At 37.8% G+C, this 27,689-nt stretch overlaps 1 protein-coding gene across 3 annotated transcripts; it reads left to right on the forward strand.

Moving 5' to 3' along the window:
• Positions 3,165-27,373, forward strand: LRIT3 (leucine rich repeat, Ig-like and transmembrane domains 3). Of its 3 annotated transcripts, NM_198506.5 has the most exons (4): positions 3,165-3,375; positions 6,562-7,034; positions 22,699-23,004; positions 24,703-27,373. In NM_198506.5, exons 1-4 carry the CDS (start codon positions 3,260-3,262, stop codon positions 25,845-25,847), a joined length of 2,040 nt encoding a protein of 679 aa, NP_940908.3. In that variant the 5' UTR covers positions 3,165-3,259; the 3' UTR covers positions 25,848-27,373. The 3 variants fall into 3 exon arrangements, with proteins under 3 accessions (NP_940908.3, XP_016863657.1, XP_016863656.1); XM_017008168.2 differs by lacking the exons at positions 22,699-23,004; positions 24,703-27,373 and adding an exon at positions 20,177-20,292; XM_017008167.2 differs by lacking the exons at positions 3,165-3,375; positions 6,562-7,034 and adding an exon at positions 19,917-20,333.

A 27,689-nucleotide genomic window follows, 5' to 3' on the forward strand; every position in this document is an offset into this window, starting at 1 on the left:
TGAATTTGTAGACTTCACATATTTGTCATTCTAAATGACTGTTAAGCATAATACAATATACCATTGTTTAAATAGTAGACATTTAAATTGCTTTCCAGTTTTTAGTTTCATGGATATACCACTGAAAATATTTCAGTGCAAATATATTTTTTCTTTTGGAGAAGTTATTCTATTTGAGTGTTTCTTTTCAGACTAGAAATACTGGATACAAATACAAAAACACTATTATTTTTGCTAGCTTGCTTTATGGAAAGATTGAATTAGTTTTCACTGATACTGGCAGTGTCTAAGTGAGCTTTTCACTGCATATTCCTGCTCATAGTCCTGTATATATTTAAATTATGAGTTATATACTCTAACTTAAAGTCATTTTATTTCACATTTCTTTAACTGCTAGTGAGGCTGTGTATCTTTGCATATTGTATTTTTTAATCTCTATTTTTTCTTCCTATAAATTGTCTCTTTAGCACCTTTGGCTACATATTAAGTAAAATACAGGTATTAGTTTTATGTGTACAGTCTTCTACGTATATGGAAAGGTAAACTGTCATAGTAATCTACCTTATCTCCTAACTCTCTGACTTTCCCACTGCAATCAATTCATACAATACAACCTCAATCAATACAATTTCATAGCTAATCTTTTAAAAATAAAGTTCCAATGCCCAAATTCTTTGGCTAAAAACCTTCACTCACCCACCAAGTAAGTATAAACCCCTCAGCTGGATTTTCAAGGCCCTCTTTAACATACTTCAAGAGGGACTTTTCAGCTTTTTGTCTCTCTTCATGGCCAAATTAAAATGTCTAGTGTTCCGAGAGAGCTCTGAATGCTTTGTGTCACTAGGTCTTCGCTCATCCTGTCTATCATAGCCGAGCCTTTTTACAGGGAAAGCATAGTGAAATCTGCACCCAAAGTCCCAGAGCCATTAAAAGGCCAGGACAACTTCTGTAATAATGTCTAGAAAAATGGACTCAGAGTTCCAATTTGCAAGGCTGTGAACTCATTTCCAGCGATAAGCAAGAAGCAACTTTGCCTCAAATATAAAGGACTTCAACAGTGTACAGTAATTATATTTCAATGCTATATTATTTATTTTTTAATTTGCTTATATGATAAAACTAGGAAGACCTGGCTTTGGTTACATAGTTCCCTCTGACCTCTTAGTTTGCTAATTTCTGATGTTTTTATCTTTAAACAGCGTTTCTATGCTCAATTTGGCACGTCTTGCTTCCATGTAAGTCATAACATCCATGAAATTAATGATTCAAAAACCCTTGGTCACTTGGCGATCAGAGCTTTACCCATCCAATTTCTTTTTCCTCTTGTGCTCAAAAACTCGAGGCCACCACCTCTCACTGCATCTCCAGCACTGGGAAACCTTAGGGTTGTTTTTAAATCCCTTCTTCATCCTTACGTCTAATCAATCATTTCTCTCTCCTGGGTGTTTCCTGAAGCTGCATTATCCTAACGATTACTAGCACAGCAGTCAAGGCTGTAGCCTAATGGCTGCTCACCTGGACTATAACCACAGACATCCACCTGAAGCCTCCTCCTTTCTTCTTGCTTGCTCTATCTAGAAGCTTCCTCCTTTCTTCTTGCTTGCTCTGTCTAAACCTTTTCTCCACACAGCCGCCAGAGAATTCTTCCTGAAAGGATAAGCTGATATGCCACTCCCAAGCCTAACTTTTATTGCTCCCATTGCCTGTAGGCTGAGAGTAAGCTCTCCATAGGGAATCTAAGGGTTTCCTTGATAACTTCATCCCCGCTTATCTCTCCAGCTTTATCTTTTTTAACTTCCTGCCTCAAAATCTTATGCCTGAGCAACAAGAAGTGCTTGAAATTCTCTGAGGACAATACACTGTTTCTCACTTCCCTCCCTTTGTTCCCACTATTCCCTTTGCTTGCAATGCAACTTTCTGGATTTTCCCATAATACATCGTCATGCACCCTGTAAAAGGCAGCCAGGCACCACCCACCCTAGGAAGTCTTGCTTGACTAACACAGGCTGGGTTTGATGCTCTTTTCTCGTGCTTCTTTAGTAGTCTGTTCCTCCCTTTATCGTGTGAGTTCCTTATGTGTAATAACTGTCTTATTTATCTTTGTACCCCTCAATGCTCAGCAGAGAATAAGTACTCAGTAAATATTTGATGAACAAACGAGTTGTGCAGAATCTGAAAACCTGCAGTATTTTATTTTAATTGAGCACAGTTTTTCAGACTGTATGGTTTTTATATACATTCTATTGGTTTTAAATAACATTTTCTATAATATGCTTATTTTTATAGAATTAATTTTCTTTTAAAAAGGTTTTTAGTTAAAGAGGATGGTTAGAAGCAGCCACTAAGAAGGTTAAATGACGTATATTTATTACTTAAATCCTTGATTGTCCCTGTGGATTCTCCACTCTATGAGTGTGGAGATACTTTTAAATTTAATTACATTTAATTTTTATTTTCTGACAGAGCCTAATATAGCTGAAAGAATTAGAGTTGATCTTCAAATATGGCTTTGATGCTGATAACTTGGGAAACTATTGAACAGAGATAGTTGCCTGCATTAAAAATAAATGTGCTGGGATAAACCTTCCACACACTGAGATGACCTGGAAGAGTCTCAGAACACGTTCTTATTGGAGAACTTAGTCCTGCCACATCAGTAGTGGATTGAAGCATTTTCCCTATAAAATCTGTGTAACTGACTTGTTTTACTTTACTTTTAGAGATAGCCAGTATGTGGCAACATCGATAACTCTTTTCTAAATCATTTTTATGTCATGTGCTTCTATTTTTAAAACTAAATTTTGTAAAACTGAATTAGTAACACATTCTGGCAAAAACCAAATGCAAAACATTTTATAATGTTGTAACATGTAAATAATCTACAGAATTTTCTTGCATCTGCCAAGACTGAATTATTTTACATTAAGTATATTTTTAAGGTGTAGTGGCAAGTACATCCAGAAGAAAGGGATTTAATAGGCATTTTCTTGCAAATCTAGTTACGGGTAACTATTGAAATTGCTTGTCATGTGTTTGATTTTCATTTTCCTTAGAATGTGTTACTTTGCTGAAACTGTATTCAAAGGCTGGATCAATTGATCTCCTGCAAGATACACTTGAAGGTTAAGTAACTACAGATCTCAGCTAATCCCGTGTAATCTGCTGTTACTAAATGGCTGTTTGTATTCCAGGCATACCAGGTTCTGAATGCTTAGGATTCGGTTTTTACCTTTTGTTTAAATAACCTCTAAAAGGAGCAATGCATCTCTTTGCATGTCTGTGCATTGTCCTTAGCTTTTTGGAAGGAGTGGGCTGTTTGTGTCCTTCACAGTGCACCTGTGATTATCACGGCAGAAATGACGGCTCAGGATCAAGGTATGCTCCTCTGCTTGTTACTAAGTGTTCTCATTATTTTGACAAAAAGGACCCAAACAAGAAAGCCTACTTTTGAAAGCAAATGTTTGGGGATCAGAAATCACAGAAGAGAATGTTTAGTGTCCATAAGCTTTAACTTAATTGTTTTAACACTGGTCACCTACTCCTTCACTGTTTTCGTTTTGAGCAGTTTAACTCTCAAAGGCCTCTCAAGGTATTGGAAATTTCTAAACACATTCTATGTTCCAAAATTTTTATTATGCTCATGTTCACAAATTGTTGCTTGAGATCAAACGATTTAAAGGTGCATGGCCAGCTAAGCCCTTGATTATAGAAAGGCTAAGAGGGCAGGCTGAACAGGAGCTGCGTGACATGCTCAGATCCTTTGCTTTCATGGCTCTCCACTTCCTTTGAGAACTATTCATGCCAATTGAATGGCAGAAAGAAAGATCTCAAGAGTGAAGTTAGAGAGGTTAATAGTTAGAATTTTTCATTTTAAGCTGATGGAATTTACAAAATAAAGAAGATTGAAAAAGATACTGTCTGTTTCAGACACTGCAGGATCTCACAGAAGTTATTCAATCTCTAGGTTGCTTTAGCATCTACTTGTGTAGTGAGAAGAGTTATTTACTTATATTGTGCATGAGGCCTTTTAGATATGTTAAATGCAAAACAGAACTCTTGCTAGCTAAACACAGTAGAACTTGAATTTTTTTTTTGAGAGGTTATTTAATAACAAAATCAGGTTATTTGTGACTTGGTTGAAGTAAACGGTGTCTCAGATAAAATAATTTGTTAAAAGAGTTGCCCAATTTATGTCTTATAACTTTAAACAAATAAATAATAATAAATAAGACATATTTGTGAAAAGCTTATCTTGTTATTGTATAAACTTTAGTTAACCAATTCTTGGTATTTTTTGAGATATTCACTGGGTGGTTAAAGACAATGAAGAGAATGTAGCAAGTTAAAGACCTACTTGTCCAGGGACGTGTAGCAGTGAAGGATCAGGCCAGGGTACTTTTGAGAAACTATCACAGAAATGTTTCCTTCTTTGTGGTGACCCCATTATTGATGGATTTTATAAAAATTATAGAATATTAGGCCTGGCAAGAAATAATCTAGTTCAACCCCTTGTCAGTTTATAAGTGAAGAAACTAAACTGTATGGAGACCAAATGACTTGTCCTAGATCATATAATTGTGTTGATGTAGTAACTAAGTTCATAAAGATGCTAGATCTTTTAGCGTACAAACTAGACTTTCTTCTATGATAGCATGCTGAGATACTTATTTTATTTATTTATTTATTTTGAGACAGAGTCTCACTTTGTCAGCCAGGCTGGAGTGCAGTGGCACAATCTCGGCTCACTGCAACCTCCATCTCCCGGGCTCAAGCAATTCTCCTGCCTCAGCCTCCCAAGGAGCTGGGATTACAGGCGTGTGCCACCATGCCCAGCTAGTTTTTGTATTTTTAGTAGAGATGGGGTTTCATCATGTTGGCCAGGCTGGTCTCAAACTCCTGACCTCAGGTAATCCACGCACCTCGGCCTCCCAAAGTGCTGGGATTACAGGCGTGAGCCACCGCACCCGGCCAATACTTTCTTAATGAGTAGAAACTGCTACCATTCTGGTATAAAGTAGTACTGAAATCTGTGATATAAAATAGAGATGAAAAGTAAGAGATATCCCTAGAGGATTTCAAAGATTCCATGAGGTCTTTTCCTGAAGTTATAGAAAGGACATAACACTACCACTACATTGCAGCTTTATGCTGCTTACGTGTGTATACATTATGAGCTGGTTTTTCAAATCCACTGATTTAATGTCATATGTTTCACTAAAGGGTTATTTTATTGTAATTATTTACTAAATTTATAGTGTGCTATAATTTAGATGATACTTTGCAAAACTTCTTATTGTTCATTTTTCATAATTCAGATGAGTATCTCATAGGAGATAAGTCTTTTTCCAGGCTAAAATGAATCTAAATTCTCAGATTCCTCATACTTTAAATTTACACATGGGACAGTGTTGTCTTCCTTCCTTCCTTCCTTCCTTCCTTCCTTCCTTCCTTCCTTCCTTCCTTCCTTCCTTCCTTCCTTCCTTTCTTTCTTTCTTTCTTTCTTTCTTTCTTTCTTTCTTTCTTTCTTTCTTTCTTTCTTTCTTTTCTATTTTGAGATGGAGTCTCGCTCTGTCACCCAGGCTGGAGTGCAGTGGCGTGATCTTGGCTGACTGCAACCTCTGCCTCCCAGGTTCAAGCGATTCTCCCACCTCCGCCTCCTGAGTAGGTAGGATTACAGGTACCTACCACCGCGCCTGGCTAATTTTTGTATTTTTAGTGGAGTCGGGGTTTCGTCATGTTGGCCAGGCTGGTCTCAAACATCTGACCTCAGGTGATCTGCCCACCTTGACCTCCCAAAGTGCTGGGATTACAGCCATGAGCCACATTGCCCAGCTGGGACATTGCCCAGTGTTGTTTTTCTATGCCTGTTTTATATGTGCCAACAAACAAGATCAAAATGTGACTTGCTCAAGGTCAACTCCTAATTTCTGGTTTATTCCTTAGGCAGAAAGCAATGTGCAAGTCACGTTATTAAAACAGAGTTCAACTTTAAACATGTACTGTGAACACTTTTTTTTTTCACCTAAATAAATTATTCTCTGAACAAGGATTGATTTATTATTTTAACAGGGGGTTCTTTTAAAATGGGCCATTTCCTAAAGAGGTGCACTTTAAGTTGGACAGAAGTGGTTTTGAAAGGTGGCTGTGAAACCCACTAGCTGGGTGACCTTGGAAAGTTACTGAATGTTGGTGGGCCTCAGTTACTTTCCATGTAAAACCGAGGTTGTTGACAGTAGCAGCAAATACCTACTGAGTACCTATTCTGTGCCAGGAAGTTGTAGAGTTTTACATCCATTGTAATTAATCATCCATAACAGTGCCATATGGGAAAATGAGGTTGAGACACTGGTGAAGTGGTTTTCCATGGCCACAGAGGAGGTGGCAAACCTTAGACCTTGGTTAGATTTGAACCAAGGCCCTCCTCGGCCTCCCAAAGTGCTGGGATTACAGGCGTGAGCCACTGCCCAGCTGAAAATTGATACATTTTTCAAATGAGAAGTATTTTTTTCAAATGGGTGTTGGAAAGTGAGTTTCCTCACATTGTTCATGTTGTGACACTAGGTTGGTGCTATGTAATGACATGGATATGAACGAGCTGCCTACGAACCTCCCCGTGGACACTGTGAAGCTTCGCATAGAGAAGACTGTCATCCGCAGAATCTCTGCGGAGGCCTTCTATTACCTGGTGGAGCTCCAGTATCTCTGGGTGACTTACAATTCCGTGGCCAGCATTGACCCCAGCAGCTTTTACAACCTGAAGCAACTGCATGAGTTGCGCTTGGATGGGAATTCTCTGGCTGCTTTCCCTTGGGCATCTCTGCTGGACATGCCCCTTCTGAGGACCCTGGACTTGCACAATAACAAAATAACCAGTGTGCCAAATGAGGCGCTCAGGTATCTGAAGAACCTTGCCTACTTGGATTTATCAAGCAACAGACTCACCACATTGCCACCAGATTTCCTGGAGAGCTGGACTCATTTAGTTTCAACACCTTCTGGAGTCCTGGACCTTTCCCCAAGCAGGATTATTCTTGGTAAGCTCGCAAGCCTCTGGGCTTTTCATCTATAGTTACTTTGCTATGCATAGCTTTTTTTGTCCAGTCTTTTAAAATTTGTTGGATTTGGCTTTTTACTCTGTAATTGCACTTTTACTGGAATAGTACCTTATTAGTTAACCTAGGTCAAGTTACCCTTTCTCCTGTGTAAGGTGTAAGAGCTGTGTGTGTGTGCATGCATGTGTGTACATACATGTGTGGAAAAGTGGAGAAGAACTTGCATCATAAATGGAGAGAGGACCATTTCTCTTAAAGAGCATCCAGCTGAGAGACAGAATCAACCAACTGCATAGACTCTTGTGAGCACAGCATTGCTCCATACTCTGGTACAAAGTTCTGCTCAGTTTGCTTTTCAACTCTTCATTAGGTTCTTCAGGAGCAGGAGAGGGGCACTGGCATCTTTATGCGATAGCAGTGGCTTCATTAGTTAGGAAGAATAGCTTCTAAATTTCCTTAATCTAAAAAGAAATGGTGGAAACACCAGTTATTTTACTGGCCCCAAATGGTTCTCCTAACTGATTTGGTCTCTTAGTTTAGCTGTGACTAGTTTTGGAATTTTGAACTTGGTCTTGTTTAGGTTCTATGTGTATTTCTCTGGTTCTTTTTATTATTATTATTATTATACTTTATGTGCAGAACTTGTAGGTTTGTTACATAGGTATAAACATGCCATGGTGGCTTGCTGCACCCATCAACTTGTCATCTACATTAGGTATTTCTCCTAATGCTATCCCTCCCCTAGACCCCTACCCCACAACAGGCCCCAGTGTGTGATGTTCCCCTCCCTGTGTCCATGTGTTCTCATTTTTCAACTCCCACTTATGAGTGAGAACATGCAGTGTTTGGTTTTCTGTTTCTGTGTTAGTTTGCTGAGAATGATGGTTTCCACTTTCATTCATGTCCCTGCAAAGGACATGAACTCATGCTTTTTATGGCTGCATAGTATTCCATGGTGTGTACATGGCACATTTTCTTTATGCAGTCTATCACTGATGGGCATTTGGTTCGAAGTCTTTGCTATTGTGAATAGTGCTGCAATAAACATACATGTGCATGTGTCTTTATACTAGAATGATTTATAATCCTTTGGGTATATACCCAGTAATGAGATTGCTGGGTCAAATGGTATTTCTGGTTCTAGGTCCTTGAGGAATTGCCACACTGTCTTCCACAATGATTGAACTAATTTATACTCCCACCAACAGTGTAAAAACGTTCCTATTTCTCCACATCCTCTCCAGCGTCTGTTGTTTCCTGACTTTTTAATGATCGCCATTCTAACTGGCATGAGATTACATCTCATTGTGGTTTTGATTTGCATTTCTCTAATAACCAGTGATGATGAGCTTTTTTTTCATATGTTTGTTGGTTGCATAAATGTCTTCTTTTGAGAAGTGTCTGTTCATATCCTCTGCCCACTTTTTGATGGAGTTGTTTGTTTTTCTTTTTTCTTGTAAATTTGTTTAAGTTCCTTGTAGATTCTGGATATTATCCCTTTGTCAGGTGGATAGATTGCAAACATTTTCTCCCATTCTGTAGGTTGTCTGTTCATCACTTTGATGATAGTTTCTTTTGCTGTGCAGAAGTTCTTTAGTTTAATTAGATCCCATTTGTCAATTTTGGCTTTTGTTGCCATTGCTTTTTGGTGTTTTAGTCATGAAGTCTTTACCCATGCCTATGTCCTGAATGGTATTGCCTAGGTTTTCTTCTAGGGTTTTTTATGATTTTAGGTCTTACATTTAAGTCTTTAATCCATCTTGAGTTAATAAGGTGTAAGGAAAGGGTGCAGTTTCAGTTTTCTGCATATGGCTAGCCAGTTTTCCCAACCCCATTTATTAAATAGAGAATCCTTTCCCCATTGCTTGTTTTGTCAGGTTTGTCAAAGATCAGATGGTTGTAAATGTGTGGTGTTATTTCTGAGACCTCTGTTCTGTTCCATTTGTCTATATATCTGTTTTGGTATCAGTACTGTGCTGTTTTGGTTACTGTAGCCTTGTAGTATATTTTGAAGTCAGGTAGCGTGATGCCTCCAGCTTTGTTTTTTGCTTAGGACTGTCTTGGCTATATGGGCTCTTTTTTGGTCCCATATGAAATTTAAAGTAGTAGTTTTTCCTAATTCTGTGAAGAAAGTCAATGGTAGCTTGATGGGGTTAGCATTGAATCTATAAATTACTTTGGGCAGTATGGCCATTTTCACAATATTGATTCTTCCTATCCATGAGCATGGAATGTTTTTCCATTTGTTTATATCTTCTTTTATTTCCTTGAGCAGTGGTTTTTAGTTCTCCTTAAAGAGATCCTTCACATCCCTTGTTAATTGTATTCCTAGGTATTTTATTCTCTTTTTACCAATTGTGAATGGGAATTCACTCATGATTTGGCTCTGTTTGTCTATTATTGGTGTATAGAAATGCTTGTGATTTTAGCACATTGATTTTGTATCCTGAGACTTTGCTGAAGTTGCTTTTCAGCTTTGGCTAAGATGATGGGGTTTTCTAAATATACAATCATGTCATCTGCAAACAGAGACAATTTGACTTCCTCTCTTCCTATTTGAATACCCTTTATTTCTTTTGCCTGATTGCCCTGGCCAGAGCTTCCAATACTGTGTTGAATAGGAGTGGTGAGAGAGGACATCCTTGTCTTGTGCCGGTTTTCAGAGGGAATGCTTCCAGCTTTTGCCCATTCAGTATGATATTGGCTGTGGGTTTGTCGTAAATAGCTCATATTATTTTGAGATACATTCCATCAATACCTAGTTTATTGAGAGTTTTTAGCATGAAAGGGTGTTGAATTTTATAGAAGGCCTTTTCTGCGACTATTGAGATAATCATGTGCTTTTTGTCACTGGTTCTGTTTATGTGATGGATTACATTTATTGATTTGCATATGTTGAACAAGCGTTGCATCCCAGGGATGAAGCCAACTTGATTGTGGTGGATAAGCTTTTTGATGTGCTGCTGGATTCAGTTTTCCAGTATTTTATTGAGGATTTTCATGTCAATGTTCATCAGGGATATTGGCCTGAAATTTTCTTTTTTTGTGGTGTCTCTGCCAGGTTTTGGTAGCAGGATGATGCTGGCCTCATAAAATGAATTCCTGTTTTTCTTTTTTTCTTTCTTTGTACCTCTGGTACCTCTGGTAGAATTCAGCTGTGAATCCATCTGGTCCTGGGCTGTTTTTGGTTGGTAGGCTATTTAATTACTGCCTCAATTTCAGAACTTGTTATTTGTCTATTCAGGGATTCAACTTCTTCCTGGTTTAGTATTGGGAGGGTGTATGTGTCCAGGAATTTATCCATTTCTTCTAGATTTTCTAGTTTATTTGTGTAGAGGTGTTTATAGTATTCTCTGATGGTAGTTTGTATTTCTTTGGGATCAGTGGTTATATCCCTTTATCATTTTTTATTGAGTCTATTTGATTCTTCTCTCTTTTCTTCTTTATTAGTCTTGCTAGCGGTCTATCAATTTTGTTGATCCTTTCAAAAAACCAGCTCCTGGATTCACTGATATTTTGAAGGGTTTTTTCTGTCTCTATCTCCTTCAGTTCTGCTCTGATCTTAGTAATTTCTTGCCTTCTGCTAGCTTTTGAATGTGTTTGCTCTTGCTTCTCTAGTTCTTTTAATTGTGATGTTAGGGTGTCAATTTTAGATCTTTCCTGCTTTCTCTTGTGGGCATGTAGTGCTATAAATTTCGCTCTACACACTGCTTTAAATGTGTCCCAGAGATTCTGGTATGTTCTGTCTTTGTTCTCATTGGTTTCAAAGAACATCTTTATTTCTGCCTTCATTTTGTTATGTACCCTGTAGTCATTAAGGAGCAGGTTGTCCAGTTTCCATGTAGTTGAGTGGTTTTGAGTGAGTTTCTTAATCCTGAGTTCTAGTTTGATTGCACTGTAGTCTGAGAGACAGTTTGTATGCCTTCACCCTAAAGAGGCCTAGAAGAGCTGTGGCAAGATGAGGGCGTTTATAGCCCTATCTTATCCATATGAACAGGCACCCCTCATGCATCCATTTATAGGCTCTCCACAAGGGTCGCATTCCATTCCCAGAATTATGAACATCTGCTTTTCTGAGATAGGAATCTTGGTGATGTGAAACCTCCCTGACTGCACATCCATTCATAGGCTCTCTGCAGGGGGAAGCACATTACACACTGTTGGCTCATTCTGGCAGTCCAACCTGGCATTGTCTTTACACAATCCTGCATGCAATTTTGTACTTACAATTATCAGAAGCATTTCATCTTTTATTCCATAGCAATAGTTTCAGGGGGTCTCCCTACATCTCCTCATTTTCTCTGATTTAAATGAACCATAGCAATCATAGCTTGGCGCTGATCATGATTGGATTGAATAATATTTTTTCCAATTTTACACATGAACAATAAACCAATAGCACAAATTATACACAGAACAAAATTACCGATAGTGGATCCTCCCAAAGATTTTACTCATTGAATGGGGTTGAGATTAGATAACCCCTCAGAGATACCATCTAAAACTTCATCACTGGGTAAAGAAGTTAAGTGTGCTTGAGAGGCCTCAAAAATCTTTTCTTTTAGCTTGCTTATGTCTAAACTCAAATTATCTTCACTTCCTTGTAAATGGCGTTTTACTGATTCCCAATTGTGAACAGACTCATTATATTGGAACGGAGCTATACAAAAATCAGAAATATTCCAATCACATTGCATTTGTAATCCGTGTTCTAAACTCTTAATTCTATCTCCCATCCATATAATAGTTTGTCTTAGATCATTAATTTGATTGGCCAATTTTTGATCAATACCTGACTGAGAATTCCACATTCAAATAGAATTTTTTTGCCATTTATCCGCAAAATGAGCAGTTTGAATAGATTGATGTAATGCAACTCCAGCAGTAGCAGCAGTCACCGTAACAGCAATCAAGCCCATTATTACTGCAATTAATGTAAAAATAAATCGTTTACTCCTTTTAAGAATTTTCTTTAGAATATTATTAATAACATCGATAGAAGAGGAAGATTTCCAAGGCCTATGTAAGGCTACAGGGAGCCAACTACCTTCTCTGGCTCTGACTATTAAAATACTATGATATTGATTAAAGGATGAGTCAATACAAGTATACAAGTAACAATTAACACAGGTAATTATGTTGGTTTTTGAACTAATATGCATCTTTCCTACTAATAACATATATGGTGGTTTAACACAACTTTTAAGTGGTATAGTTTTGTTGGACTCCATATAGATAGTATATATATTTTGGGATGGTACTCTTTTTTGTGAATGTGGGGTGGGGGGAATAGGTTGTATGAGAGGTGGCAGGGGGACATTAGCAACAGGGGGGTATAAGTCCTCATAATCTTTACTGTCCCATCTTTGAATTGACCTTTTGATGATTGCCATAGTGATATTTTTGGCTGTGTGGAAATAGTAGTGTAAATCAATCTGTTGTCTTAGTTTTCAAGGTGACAAGGTGGATTTACTTATAACCCTTTCTCCAGCCCAAACTCTCATACCAATCATAGCTATGGTTAATCTCCATAATTCTGAATGTTCAGGTCCTAAGTGGGGAACAACAAGCCTTGGCTTTGGAGGGGCAATCCCTGCCCCTTTCCACTTTAAAGGAAAAAAGGAGTTAAATCTATGATATAATAGGGAAGGGTTGTCACTACTTTTTTGATAAGTAATATCATAGAGAAAATGTTGACAATCTCTGTGGCCTTGAGAGCAATCATTAGTAATATGACCTTTAGGAGCCCAGTCAACAATGGTGTAGTGAGAAGAATTAAATAACACAGTTCCTTCTGAACTAACACAATCCTTCCATATTAATTTGTCAGCATTTGAAGACAAGTTGAGAGGACACACAGGTCCTAAAGGCTTATATTGGGATGTGTGAATATAATCAGCGATTCCTATTTTGATCTGTCTTAGAGGTTTTAATGAGAGCCCTGATACCAAGTGTCCTAAAGGAGGGACAGAGTGACCAGATGGTAGTGTGACCTCCAAGGTTTGAATATCTAATGAGAAACATCCATTAGTGGGTCTCAGGCACAAAGGTGGATACCTAAAACCTAAAGTGATATTGAAAGGGGTTCCTTCTTCTGAAGGTTGGGCAGGACAACGATCATCTACAGAACCAGGCATCCAAATACTATCATTAACATAGACCTCAGTAGGAGCGTCCATCCATGTCATGGCTCGAATAAGAGGAGGAAAAGGAATATAGGCCCAATATGTATAGTTTTTAACAGTCTATAGAGTGACAGAGGGTAGAAGGAGCAATGTCATCAGGAGGAGGCAGAGGTTGAGCTGGACCTGGATCGCTGGAGACAAGTTGTTCAGGATGGCTGACTGGATTGTCTGTTGTAAAGGAGTTAGCATGGTCATTTTCTTCTTTTTTGACAATTGGATGTGTTAGTTGTTTCCTGCTGTGGCATTTTTTCAGCAAATTTCTCTGTCTCGTTGTTGCATGCATCTTCAGGACACAATTTCAGGTGTCTAGCAGTAATCTAAACAGGAGATTGATGTTCACCTGGGGAAACACAAGCGTAGACTCTTCCCCACATTAAAATAGAAACTTTTGACCATATATTAGATTGAACATCTTTCCACCATACTTCCCTTCCTTGGTTTACCATGGGACGGTTACCAGAGAAATGTTTTTCGACAGCAGTAACAGAACTAGATTTAGGAATATTAAGAAAATTTAATGTGAGCAATGCCAAGTTTAGTTGTATGTGAGGGGTAGACTCCTTATCCCCCTCTTTTTGTTTAAGTAATTGTAATTTTAAAGTTCTGTTACTTCTTTCTACAATAGCTTGGCCTTGTGGGTTATAAGGAATACCAGTAATATGTTTAATATGCCACTGATCAAGAAAATTTTTAAAAGCTTTACTGCAATAGGCTGGACCATTGTCTGTTTTGAGCTCACTAGGAATTCCCATAACCGCAAAACATGAAAACATATGTTTTTTAACATAAGAAGTGGCTTCTCTGGTTTGACAGGTAGCCCAGATGAAATTGGAAAAGGTGTCAACTGTGACATGCACATAAGCTAATTTTCCAAAAGATGGGTGCCAGATATTGCGGGATCTGGCCAGCAAACCACAATGCAATGGGGCTCTTTCTTTTGTTCCCAGGCAGATCAGCAGGTCAAAAAATAATAGACACACACAAGATAGTGAAAGCTGGATCCAGGGGGGTCACCACCTTCTGGTCCCACGGTGCCACCAATGCACTAGATATACCAGCATTTATTATTAAGTTTAGTGAGGGTGGGGGTAGGTTAGTGAGGGATTTAGGGTCATTTGATTGTGTGTGTGAGATGGTCACATGGGGATGAAGTAATTCTTTAACATAACATCTGTATGCAGAAGTACAGTATACAGAGATAAGAATTTACAATATAGTGTGTGCATCAGTAATTTCTAACAGAGCCTTAAAACAGAAACACAGTCTTTTCATAACCTATGATTAGCAAGATATTAATCAGCAGTAACAGTTGCAGCAAAAGCTGGTTACAAACAATCCATAGAAACAGGACGTGAAGCTAGACAACCGGTTAGACCAGAAATTCTCAGAAGGAAGTATGCCCTAAAGAGGCCTAGAAGAGCCATGGCAAGATGAGGGTGTTTATAGCCCTATCTTATGCATATGGACAGGTGCACCTCATGCATCCGTTTATAGGCTCTCCACAAGGGTCACATTCCATTCCCAGAGCTATGAACATCTGCTTTTCTGGGATAGGAATCTTAGTGATGTGAAACCTCCCTGACTGCACATCCATTCATAGGCTCTCTGCAGGGGGAAGCACATCACGCATGTTGGCTCATTCTGGCAGTCCAGCCTGGCATTGTCCTTACACAATCCTGCATGCAATTTTGTACTTACAATAATCAGGAGCATTTCATCTTTTATTCCATAGCAATAGTTTCAAGGGGTCTCCCTACATAAGGTGAGGCTTTTCAATTACTCTTTCTCTTCTACAGGAGTAAAAACATCAACTTAGTAAAATTGTCCTTTATTGTATCCATGAATACTTAAACTATTGCCCTGCAAATAAACATTGGAATTAACTATAAAACCAGGTTTTGTTTTGCAATGCAGGTAAATTTCCATGGCCTGTTTCTTAAGATTAAGTAAATATTTACACAGGCATATTCTGTAAGTCCTGACACTGTTTGTCTCAGAGAAAAAGGCCTGTGGTAGAATAAAACATAAAATGCTTTTTTTTTGGGGGTGTTGTTTTACTTGTACCCAAATTTGCTGAATTGTAAACATGGGCTCTTTTCCTATTTGAAATGGAGTTTGCCTGAAGGATGGTGGCAGCCCTAGTATTTCCAGACTTTTCTAAAATGGTGTTAATTTAGTTCAAAAAACACTTATCAATCTCTGTAGATGTGCCCCACCCTTTTTTGGTTTGAGGAAACAAATCCACATAGGTAAGGTTTATGCCTTGCTGGGTGCTCTAATCCTCACCCTCTTTCTATAGCTGGCAGAGTCAAGTTTCAAATTTACAGTTAATCTCCAAAGACATCACTCTTTACTTTTTAAAACCTTGTTTTTAATGGAGACATTAAGGTATACTTTGTATAGGTGGAATGCAGGATTGTAAGTCTACAGTTTGTTAAATTCTGATAAATGTATACCCTTACATAACTTACACCATCATCAAGATACAGAATATTTCCATGACCTCAGAAAGTTCTGTGTTTCTTTCCAGTCAATCTTGCCTCACCTATTTGAATTTTCATCACTATAGGTTAATTGTGCCTGCTCTAGAATGTTATGTAAATGGAATCATATAAGATGAACCTTTGTGCCAGGCTTCTTTCACTCAGCATCATGTTTTTGAAAATCATCCATGCTGTCGCATGTATTGGTAGTTCATTATTGCAAAATTGTATTCAATTGTATGAATGAAGCAATTGTTCATCCTTTCTCCTGATGTTGGACACATGGGTGTTTCGAGTTTGGGGCCATAATAAATTAAGCTGCAATTAACATTCTTGTACAAAGCTTTTTGTGGCACATGTTTTCATTTCATTATCTTGGATAAATTCCTAGAATTGAAATTGCTGGATTATAGAATGGCTATATGGCTGGGGGCCATGGCTCACTCCTGTAATCCCAACACTTTGGGAGGCGAAGGCAGGCAGATCACTTTTAGTCAGGAGTTTGAGACCAGCCTGGTCAATGTGGCGAAACCCTGCCTCTACTAAAAAATACAAAAATTAGCCAGGTGTGGTGGTGCATGCCTATAGTCCCAGCTACTCAGGTGAGGTAGGAGAAACCTGGGAGGCAGATGTTGCAGTGAATTGAGATCACGTCACTGCACTACATCCTGGGTGGAAAAAAAAAAAAAGAGAAAAAGAATGGCTATATGTATAACTTTTAAGGAAACTTCCTGTTTTCCAAAGAGACTGTATAACATTATACATTCCCACTAGCACTGCATGACAGTCTGGTTGCTCCATATCCTCACCAACACTTAATGTTGTTGGTCTTTTTCATTTCAGCTATTCTGGGGGGTGGGTGGGTCAGGAAGCGGTATCACAATGTGTTTTTAATTTCCATTTCCCTGATTATTAATGGTGTTGGCCAGATTTTCATTTGCTTATGGGTCACTGTATATCTTCCTTTATGAACTATCTTTTGCTTAATTTTTAAGGGCTATTTGTCTTTTCTTTATTGAATATAAGTCTTTTGTCTGTTATATGCACTGTGAATATTTTCTCCAAGGCTGACTTGCCTATTTATTTTTTCCTGGTGTCTTTAGTAAAAAAAGGTTTACATTTTGATGACATTTGATTCATTAGTTTTTTCCTTTTACAGTTAGTGCTTTCTGTGTATCATCTAAAACATGTTTGCCTACCTCAAAATCACAGATATGATATTTTCTTATAGTTTTAGCCTTTATACTCAATTTTTAGCTGTATATTCTTAGCTCTTAGGCTTATAGCTATTATCCATCTCAAAATAGTTTTGGAGTATTGTGTAAAGTAGGGGTTGAGGTTCATATGCTTGCAAACACGTGTCCACTTGTTCCAGCACCATTCATTAAAAAGACGTTCCTTTCCCTACTGAATTGTTAAACATGGTTGTCTCCACAAAGCTGAGTAGGCATAGTCTTTGCCTTCAAGGGCTTATAGTCCTCAGAATAACTTTTGTACAAAAATTTATTGCTCACTTTTCACACAAAAATAGCGCATTTAGTCCAACTATTCTGATGCATATAAATACTATTCTTTTAGAAAGGATAAAGTTCACTTGTCCCATCCAAGAATAGTTATATAAAGTAAACTAATTAATGCAAATTAGTGTAATTGTAGTTGATGTATTGCCTTGAAGGAATGCAGTGCAAGTAACAGTTTAACTTGAGAGAGTTCTCTTTCCTTTGTCCTCAGAAGAAAAAAACACTTAAATATATTCAGTTCTTGGATCACTATTTTTATTCAGGTTTTAAAAATTGTACCTTTGACCTTAGAAGTTTCAAGCTGGAGTAAATAGACATTTTATTTTTGAAGGATTTAAAAATATTTACATAACTTTTATATATAACCAGTGAAATTAATTTTTTAAAGAATTTTCTTTCACCATTAATACATTTTTTAATAATTTCAAAGCATGAAATAAATTGTTAACATTGTATAGCTCTTAAATCTTTCCCTGTGTAAACATTTATACTCCAGATATTGCTGCTTTAACATTTTTAAATTTTATTTTATTTTGAAAGAGTATCTCACTTTGTCACCCAGGCTGGAGTGCAGTGGCACAAACCATGACTCCTGGGCTCAGTTGATCCCCTCAACTCAGCCTCCTGGTAGCTGGGACAACAGGCAAGTGCCGCCACCATACCTGGCTAATTTTTGTATTTTTGTATTTTTTGTAGAGACAGGATCTTGCCATGTTGCACAGGCTGGCCTTGAACTCCTGACCTCAAGCAATCTTCCCACCTCAGCCTCACAAAGTGTTGGGATTACAGGTGTGAGCCATTGTGCCTGGACATTTTTTTATTTGTAAATAATAGCGCTTATGACTGTCACTATGACTCTAAATGTTTTTAGATGGCAAAGAGATGAGTTATGATAGAAAGGGTATTAGATTAGGATGCTAAAAAAATCTGGGATGTAGGATTCTAAGCCATTTACAAAGTCAAGATAGTAATATCTTTGTGCTTTGGCTTCCTTTGGTGTAAAACTGGAAGAATAATACCAGATTCCAGAGGTGGTAGAAGGCATAACATGGCGGTTAAGAGCTTTAACCACTGTGGTGGGTGGTTAAAACCTTTAACCAGCATGGTGGTTTAAGATCAGGATACTGAAGTTCAAATCCTGGCTGTCCAATTGTGTGACCCTGGGCAGATTCCTTAAGCTTCCTGAACCTTGGTTTTCTCATCTTTAAAATGGGGATGATAATAGTACTACCTATCCCATGCTTTTGTGAGGATTGAGTCAGTCCATCCTTCAGACGCTTAGTGCCGTTGTTCTTTGATCTCCTGAATCTCTGCATGTCTTGTGAGCAGAGGCAGACATTGATTACCTTTTATTCTGCACTATCTTTTCAAGGATTACCTTTTATTCTGCACTATCTTTTCAAGAGAACAGCTTTGGAGGTAGAAATATATCTCCTTCCAGAGCAAAGGGTAAGCATGCTTACTACCCAGTATAATAAAGATGTCTCCCTTCAGTGCTGTGAGCAATGAGCTCCTTCAACCCTGAGCAGGAGTCTTGTGTCTTCTACCAACATCCATAAAACGATGGCAGGCAAACTTGCCCATATCTGAGAAGTTTCCCAGAATGTGGACCTCTCAGTGCTAAAAGCAAGAAAGTCCTGGGCAAACTGAAATGAGTTGCTGGCAAACTGGAATAGGTTGGTCACCCTAAAGTAGGGTCAAATCTCAGAGCCTCTGCAGTTTTGGAGAAGCACGGTCTTTGCCACATAGGAAGCAATCAAAACTTGTAACTTGCATTGGTAGTATTACATAAAGAAAAAAATCTGGCATAAGTTGAAGTGTTTTCAAACTATGAAATAGTCTATACATATTATATAACTGAATAAATTTGATGTGCTGGCAGATTTAGAAATTAATCTTAAAATTAAATAATAAAATAGCTATGATGAGCATAGCTTTTATATATAAATTTTGACACAAATTTATAGATATAAAATATAAGTAACCTTTTATTTCAATATAAATGTTTTAGTATCATTCTATTTATGAATTCTTACTATATTAAGGTGGGTGTTTACATGTTCCTTTCTAAATCTTTTGATTGTTTTTATCTAACTTAAAATATCCCCTTTCCTCCTCTTAGGCACTATGATAACATCCCTTTGCCCTAGAGGACACTTGCCAGTTTGCATCCTGTGCTCTTCTCTTTGCTGGTTTTCTCTTTCACTCAGGGAGCAGACATGTGATTGGATCCTCACTTTGAGATTTAATTATTTGTGAGAGGCAAGCCATATATTTATTCATTGATTTCTTGCAAACTACAGCTCACAATGCTGACAATACCAACTGATAGCAACATTTTTAATCTTTTATAACTTTTTGTAGAGGTTATTGGCACATTATACACAAACTGACCTGATTAATTTGTTAAACTGTGTGGGTCACAGTCTAACAATCTAATTCCAAATTTAGTTCTTTATAATAACATTTACATGTATATAAGGCAAAACTGGTTAATGTGAAAAATACATGTACAAAGTAAAATAAACTACTGAAAGGATTTCAGCCTTTGGAAGAGGTTCATGATTCCCCCTCCCCTCCATTTTAATAAGTAAAATCAGTTATATTGTTTATAAAAGGAGAATTGACTACTTTTAGTCTGTATTGTAGTCAAAGTTCATAAACTGGCTTCACTTTGTATGATATTCACATTTGAACTGTGTATCAATGTAGACATAGAAAAGTCACAAACTTGAAAGATTTAAAAATAGCACTATTAGGAGAGTCTAGATCCACAGATTATCTTTAGCACCTCAATCAATAGAGATAAAAATGTTACAAATTAGGCATTCTATCATATTCTTCTGCTTTTTACTGAGTGATGATGGATTTTAGTGTTAGTTTGTTGTTCCATCTTTGGTTTCTTTTAGTCTATGATCATTATTTTTATTTTATAGGCTGATAGAACGTTACGGCTGTAAAAAGCTCTAGCATTTATCTAGTCAACTCTCCCATTTTGCCGATGAGAAAACAGGCTCAGCAAGGTTGCATCACCCAGGTCACAGAATTAACTAATGGTTGAGCCTCATCAGGAACCCAGGCACAGTAAAGTTGGTGAGAATGTCATTTCCTATTACTTTTAAAATTTCTCTTTCATATATTTAAATCTGGCCTTCACATATCAGGTCAACTAATACGTACAATAATGACTGAATATCTAATGTGGTATCTGGTGGTGAAATGGGTTTTTGAATGTCTATGAACTGACTACATTATTATAGGTGTTTTGGTATCTATCAGATCATATCTCCACCATTACTTATGTACTTGTTTTGAATTCTTTCTTAGTAGACATACAGATTGTATTACATTTGGTTTCTTTTGTTAAGATCAAGAAAATATGGACTCTAGTATAGGGAATATGTTTTGTGTGAATGAAATTTGTTACTTATTCAGAGATTGAAATGACTATATTTTACAAAAGATTTTAAGTACTATGTTTAGCAAGAAAGGTTAAAGGTCACTATGAATAAACCATTGTTCAAAGTAATTTCCATGAATTATGTAATTAAAAATTCATGCAACTCTATGAAAGAACTACTGCATTCTATAGATGAGGCTGAGAGAGGTTGTTATTATAGATATCTCATGGGGGTGAAGCTTGACAGAACCAAGATTTCAGCCCAGACGTTAGGTTCCAGAGCCACACTTAATCATAGCAATATAAAATAAACTAGAAAGTCTGCTTACCATATAAAATTGGATGAAAGAGCCAACAGTTAAGAGAATAGAATTCAAATTAATATTGATTCAATAACTAGGTATAGATTAACAAGATTAAATATAAGAGGAAAAGTTTAAAGTTATTCACCCATGGAAGAAAAGCATACTTCTAAAACAGGAGATGAAAAAGTAAACTTTTACCAATCCTGGCAGAAAAATACGAGCCAGTCATGACTTGCTATTATAATTTTTAAAAAGTATAATAAAAATATAGAATTTATGAACTAACAGTTACATTTCCAGCATGGTTAGAATTTGTAAAATTGCAGTTTCGTCTTTTCTTCTCAATTTATAATCCACTCCATTAGTAAAAAGCTATAACCACAAATCTCTGTGACAAATTTTTTTCTATCTTGGGCTTTATATGAGGCTGTTATGGAACATCACCCCTAAGATCCTAGAGAGACTTTTGCCTGACAGAATGCTCTAAAGCTCCATCTTAGATCCTTCTGAGATTTTAGCACAAAATTTTACAGTCACGCCTGGATTCGATGTTTGCTCTGAAGTTCTATCTTAATTTGAGAATTTTGGAGAGGCCGAGAATAAGAAACAATTTTTTAATTGAACTCAGCAAATTTCGATTCCTTTATATTTAACAGTTCTTCTTTAACTGTTGCCTCTCCTTTATATTTTATTACCTAAAACACACCAGGGAGTAGTTTCAATACTCTTTGTGGAACTATCCTTAGGTAGACCACATTGCATTGAGTATGTTTTTGATTTTCCATGTGGACCACAGGTGACAGTGCTGCTAAACTTTTTGCTACTCAGTAGCAAGGATCCTCTTTCCTCTAGTTTCCAGCAACATTTTCCTCACTTTTCTTCAAGCCCTCACTGATAGCCTTCCTGAAGGCCCAAAGGCTTCTGCTAACAATTCTGAAAGTGAGACATCCTGAAGATGCTTGCAACTGGAAGCTGTCCGCTAACCGCATTGCTTGCAGCTGATTCTCTCTTGAAGGGAGTATTGAGCAAGTCACCTTCATGGTCACCATATATGACATTCATGCCAAGCCATGTTCTTGCTTCCACCAGTCTTTCTAGACTTCTCTACTGCCATTGCCAGCATCTCACTCTATATCTTTTGCCACACAAAGCTTGCATTACCTCAATATACCTTCAAATCACATAAAACCATAACCTATTCCAGGTTGAGTTAGGTGTCTCTGAGCACCCTATAATACTTACAATACTGTAAGTACTTTCATAGCACCTTTGAAAGATCTTTATTACTGTATTATGGCATTCTATGGTACCTGGATTAAAGTCTTGGCTCTGACACTAATTAGCTTTGTGACCTTGGCCAAGTTATTGGGTCCCTCTGAGGCCTCATCTTTAACATAGGGATAGATGAAGTCTGAGCTTCATCTTTAACATAGGAATAATAATATCATTTTCTCATAGGATTATTGAGATTACATGTGATAATACAGGTAAGTGCTTAGTACATAATCTAGCACAGAGTGAATGCTCAATAAGTATTAGCCATGATTATTAATGATCTGAACTAATGGACAGGATATGTTCACCGAGATTGCTGGATTGCAGAGCAAAACTGACATAAAGGTGACTCTGCTTCATCCCTCAAAGCACTTCTGTTTATAGGGAGACAGTGTAGATCCCTACTTTCTCAAGAGGCAGGATGTAAACTGAAGTCATCAGAATAATCTTTGTCAACCTTTCCCACCTTCTGTTTTAGGTCTACAGGACAATCCTTGGTTCTGTGACTGTCATATTTCCAAAATGATTGAGTTGTCAAAGGTCGTTGACCCTGCTATAGTGCTTCTGGATCCACTGATGACTTGCAGTGAACCTGAGCGCCTCACAGGAATTTTGTTTCAGCGGGCTGAATTGGAGCATTGTCTGAAACCATCAGTGATGACCTCAGCCACCAAAATCATGTCTGCTCTGGGCAGTAATGTTCTACTGCGGTGTGATGCCACTGGCTTCCCCACCCCACAGATCACATGGACCAGATCTGACAGCTCGCCAGTTAATTATACAGGTATTTTCTTAATTCAGCCCCATGATCAAAGGAGTTTACTAAGCTTTGAAGTTAACATCATGTGTTGTGTGATTTGAAATTAGCTAGTTAACACTAATAAAATATTTCAAGATTATTGGGTGCAAGGGATTTTAAAGGTACATTTTATTCATTAGTATTCTCCTCAGTTTATCTAACTACCTAGATAAAATTAAACAATCTAAACTCTTTTTCTTAGGTAGAATGAAACAATGCAGTGGATGGATCAATGGCAGACAAGGTCTTTGTCTTGCTTCATCAACTTGGATACAGCTTACTTCAAAATGTACAGCCTTTACAATTTTTTAAAAAGGGCCTTTTGCTGGTTGGGTGCGGTGGCTCACACCTGTAATCCCAGCACTTTGGGAGGCCGAGGTGGGTGGATCACCTGAGGTCAGGAGTTTGAGACCAGCCTGGCCAACATGGCAAAACTCCGTCTCTACTAAAAATACAAAAATCAGCTGGGCTTGGTAGTGTGCACCTGTAATCCCAGCTACTCAGGAGGCTGAGGCAGGAGAATTGCTTGAATTTGGGGGGTGGAGGTTGCAGTGAGTTAAGATCGCACCACTGCAGAGTAAGACTGTCTTAAAAAAAAAAAAAAAAAAAAAAGGACGGGGGGCTTTTGTACAAGTCTCTCATTTTTGAATAATTATTTAAATAATAAATTACATGGACACCTTATTATGAATCAAAAAGTATAATTTTTAGAAATATTGATTATATAGACTTTTCAGATCCTAGTGTGACAATGTGTATGCTTTGTGCCCAATTTCAAGAGTGATATTCTGACAATTAAAGTGATATATTTTTAAAACTCTTCAATATTAAACTAAAATTCAGGTTGAAATAATGAAACCTGATGGAAATAAAGAAGTTAAGGCCTAATGTTCCTATATATAGGTAGTCAATGGTCCACAGTTTCAGCTAGTGAGTTAAGTTTTGGGCTACTGGGCTACTGTTCTGCGCATTATTATTATTCTTTGAAAAGCTTCTGAAATCAAGGAAGAATGAAAATATACCCAGATATCAGAGTTTAGGATAGCAAAATTCTGATTTTTTAAAAAACTATATGTTATTTGCAAACAAAAGAATCCTTGATTTGCCAGTTTACCTAAGTTAAATATAAAATAAATTATTCGGAATACAAATGATGACTCTGCCATGCCAGAAAATGATCTGCTGTACCTCTGGCTATAGAGATATATGCATTTTATTACCATGAAAACATATAATAAGAAATACTTAAGTAAGATCTTATGAAAAACATTCCATAGAATCACAGTGACTTAAAATTGAAAGGGACCTTTGAGATTACTTCGTCTCATCCTCTTATTTTATAAATGCAGAAACAGAAGCCTAAAGATATGAATTGACTTATCTACAACCAAACACTGTTTAGTGGGCAAAAGTTTCTAAAACCCAAGTGTCCTGATTCCCAGCCTTTTGTCTTTTAAAAATACTATTCCCTGTACAGACCTCACAACACCTGGCAGGTCCTAGACCTTGATGTAAGCAGTTTGCAGAACTATCACCCACTGTCAGAGACTTGCAGGGTGCCATTTCCCTCTTGGCTTCTGTGAGAGGATGCATGTAGAGTGGATAGTTGTTTCCTCCTCAGTTGGCATGGTGGCTTGAATTTTCTTTTTGTTCCTCACAGACTATACATTTGTTTTCTTCCAGTAATACAAGAATCTCCAGAGGAAGGAGTCAGATGGTCCATAATGAGCTTGACAGGCATTTCTTCCAAAGACGCTGGGGATTACAAATGTAAGGCCAAAAATCTGGCTGGGATGTCAGAAGCTGTGGTTACTGTGACAGTGCTTGGCATTACCACAACTCCAATACCACCAGACACTTCTGAAAGAACTGGAGATCATCCTGAGTGGGATGTCCAGCCGGGATCTGGAAGATCTACATCTGTATCTAGCGCATCATCATATCTTTGGTCCTCTTCCTTCTCCCCCACATCTTCTTTTTCTGCTTCTACTTTGTCTCCTCCCTCTACTGCTTCCTTCTCTTTATCTCCTTTCTCCTCCTCCACTGTTTCTTCAACCACAACTCTGAGCACAAGCATCTCAGCAAGTACCACCATGGCCAACAAGCGATCATTCCAGCTCCACCAAGGTGGGAAAAGAAATTTAAAGGTGGCAAAGAATGGAAGTAAGCTTCCTCCAGCCAGCACAAGTAAGAAAGAAGAGCTGGCATTGTTGGATCAAACAATGCTTACGGAGACAAATGCCGCAATAGAAAACCTCAGGGTGGTCAGTGAGACTAAAGAGAGTGTGACATTGACGTGGAATATGATCAACACCACACATAACTCTGCAGTGACTGTGTTGTATTCCAAGTATGGTGGGAAGGACCTGCTGCTGTTGAATGCAGACTCCAGCAAGAACCAAGTAACCATAGATGGCTTGGAACCCGGTGGGCAATACATGGCCTGTGTCTGTCCAAAAGGAGTGCCTCCCCAGAAAGACCAATGCATCACCTTTTCTACTGAAAGAGTTGAAGGAGATGATTCTCAATGGTCTCTCCTTCTCGTGGTGACCAGTACTGCCTGTGTTGTTATCTTACCATTGATTTGTTTCTTGTTGTACAAAGTTTGCAAACTGCAATGTAAATCAGAACCTTTTTGGGAAGATGATTTGGCAAAGGAGACTTATATCCAATTTGAGACCCTGTTTCCCAGGTCTCAAAGTGTAGGTGAGCTCTGGACACGAAGCCACAGGGATGACTCAGAGAAATTGCTGCTTTGTTCTAGGTCAAGTGTGGAATCTCAGGTGACTTTTAAAAGTGAAGGTTCCAGACCAGAGTATTATTGCTAAGGTTCTGCAGCTCAGGTGCATGTGAGCTACAAAACTAGCATCTAAGGGTATAATTGACCCTAGGTTTGGATGACTTTTGGACAGACTTTCACATTGTACATGAAAATCACAAATGGAATGCTTTTAAGTATGTTTAAAAAATACCATGAGACCTCTGAACTGAAAAGACAAATAATGTTGATTTTTTTTCTTGTGTGGAAAAGGTCTACAGAAATAATTTTTAGAGTGGTGCTTAATAAATTATTAATACTTTTTAGGGTAATGTTTTAGTTCTTAAAAATAAGTTCATGTGAAAGTAGCAAGTGAACTCTGTATTTAAAAATATAGTTTTTTGAGTCATGAGGAAACATTAGCAAAACCAGCTAAGCCTTGATGTTTATTCATGTTCGAAGTGCATTATAGCATTTGCTGTGGATGTTTTCTGACATTGCCTAATGGAGAGCGTGGGATCATAAAGGATTTTGTGTTCACTAAGGTTAAATCTAACTCACGGGAGAGAGAGGGCTCTGTCTCTTGGTACCATTATGCATTGTGATACTATAGAGTTGTGTTCATATTTCTTGTAAGAAAAATTTTTGCTTTTCTTTAGAAATATAGGTATTAGCAAAAGTAAGTATACAAAGAGGATTATGACAAATAGACCATTTCTTTAAAAATGGTAACTGTTGCATTTAAACACATCGACTGACAGATTATATGGATATTTAAAAATAACTTTAAATCAATCTTTTAATATTTTGCTGTTTGCTCTTATGTTCTCCCTTCTTTCTTCCTTCCTTGTCTTCCCTCCCTTTCCTTCCTTCATTCTTTCTTTCTTCTGCTCTGTCAGAAGATATACAAGTAGCCAAAGCATCACGAGCCAAGCTGTTTGTCTTTTGCCATATTGTCTTTTGATTCTCTTGATAAAGAGAAAGCTTTTGAAATTACTTACTGCCCTTTGAAAGTCTGTTTTACAACCCCAAAGGATATTTTAGGACTTTAAAAGGGAAGCTTCAGTGGATTCATTTGGTTAGATTCTTTTCCTAGGTTAAAAACATCGGGGAACTTAAATACATAGGAAAGGAGTTCACAAATAAAATTTAGTTTTTTTAGAAAGAGAATATTTTAATAACTGTAGTATACTACAAGAAACATCTCATGGCTTTAAGATTAACGATAGCGATAAGGCCCACTCAAGCATCTCACAGTGGTGATATTACATGTCACTTAGCAGGATGCAACCTGGCCTAGGGATTTCCAGAAGACAAGGCCACCTCAGCACAGATGCAACTTTCATAAATTTTAGAACAAAGCCTAACCTTACTAGATTAAACTTGCTCTATGAAAGAAACACTTGGTAATTGACCCAGACTGAATACATGTATAAGAAATGGGAAAGATCTCCCAAACTCTGAGAACGGTCCTCAAATAGAAGCTCTCCTAGTCAGTTGGTCATCTGACCTCTGACTATATCCGGCCTATGACACCAGCCAGCTCCTGCTTTCTGTCTTGTAAGAGCACTGCTGGAATAAACTACTTGAGCATTAGATGGTGTCTAAGACTCATCTTTGATGACAGGGATAAATCACCCTTGTGAAGCTGGCTAGCTGGGACCACCCAAAACCTCAGAACACAACTAGCAGTGAGGATGAAATTTGAGTAAGCCAATGAGTGATGACACCCATTTCTACAGGAGGATCAAGGGAGAGTGGCCAGGGCCTGGCTCTGATCGAGAGATTGGGTGAGGTCTGAGGAACACTCTACAGTGGGTCTGGCAGTTTTTGTTCTGTTTTCACATGTGTTGCTGCCTTCTATCTTTACTTTGTGCCTCTGTTTTGGAGGTCACCACCAGGTAAAATTTGC

Source organism: Homo sapiens, chromosome 4 (genome assembly GCF_000001405.40).
Source record: "Homo sapiens chromosome 4, GRCh38.p14 Primary Assembly".
Classification (NCBI taxonomy): domain Eukaryota; kingdom Metazoa; phylum Chordata; class Mammalia; order Primates; family Hominidae; genus Homo; species Homo sapiens.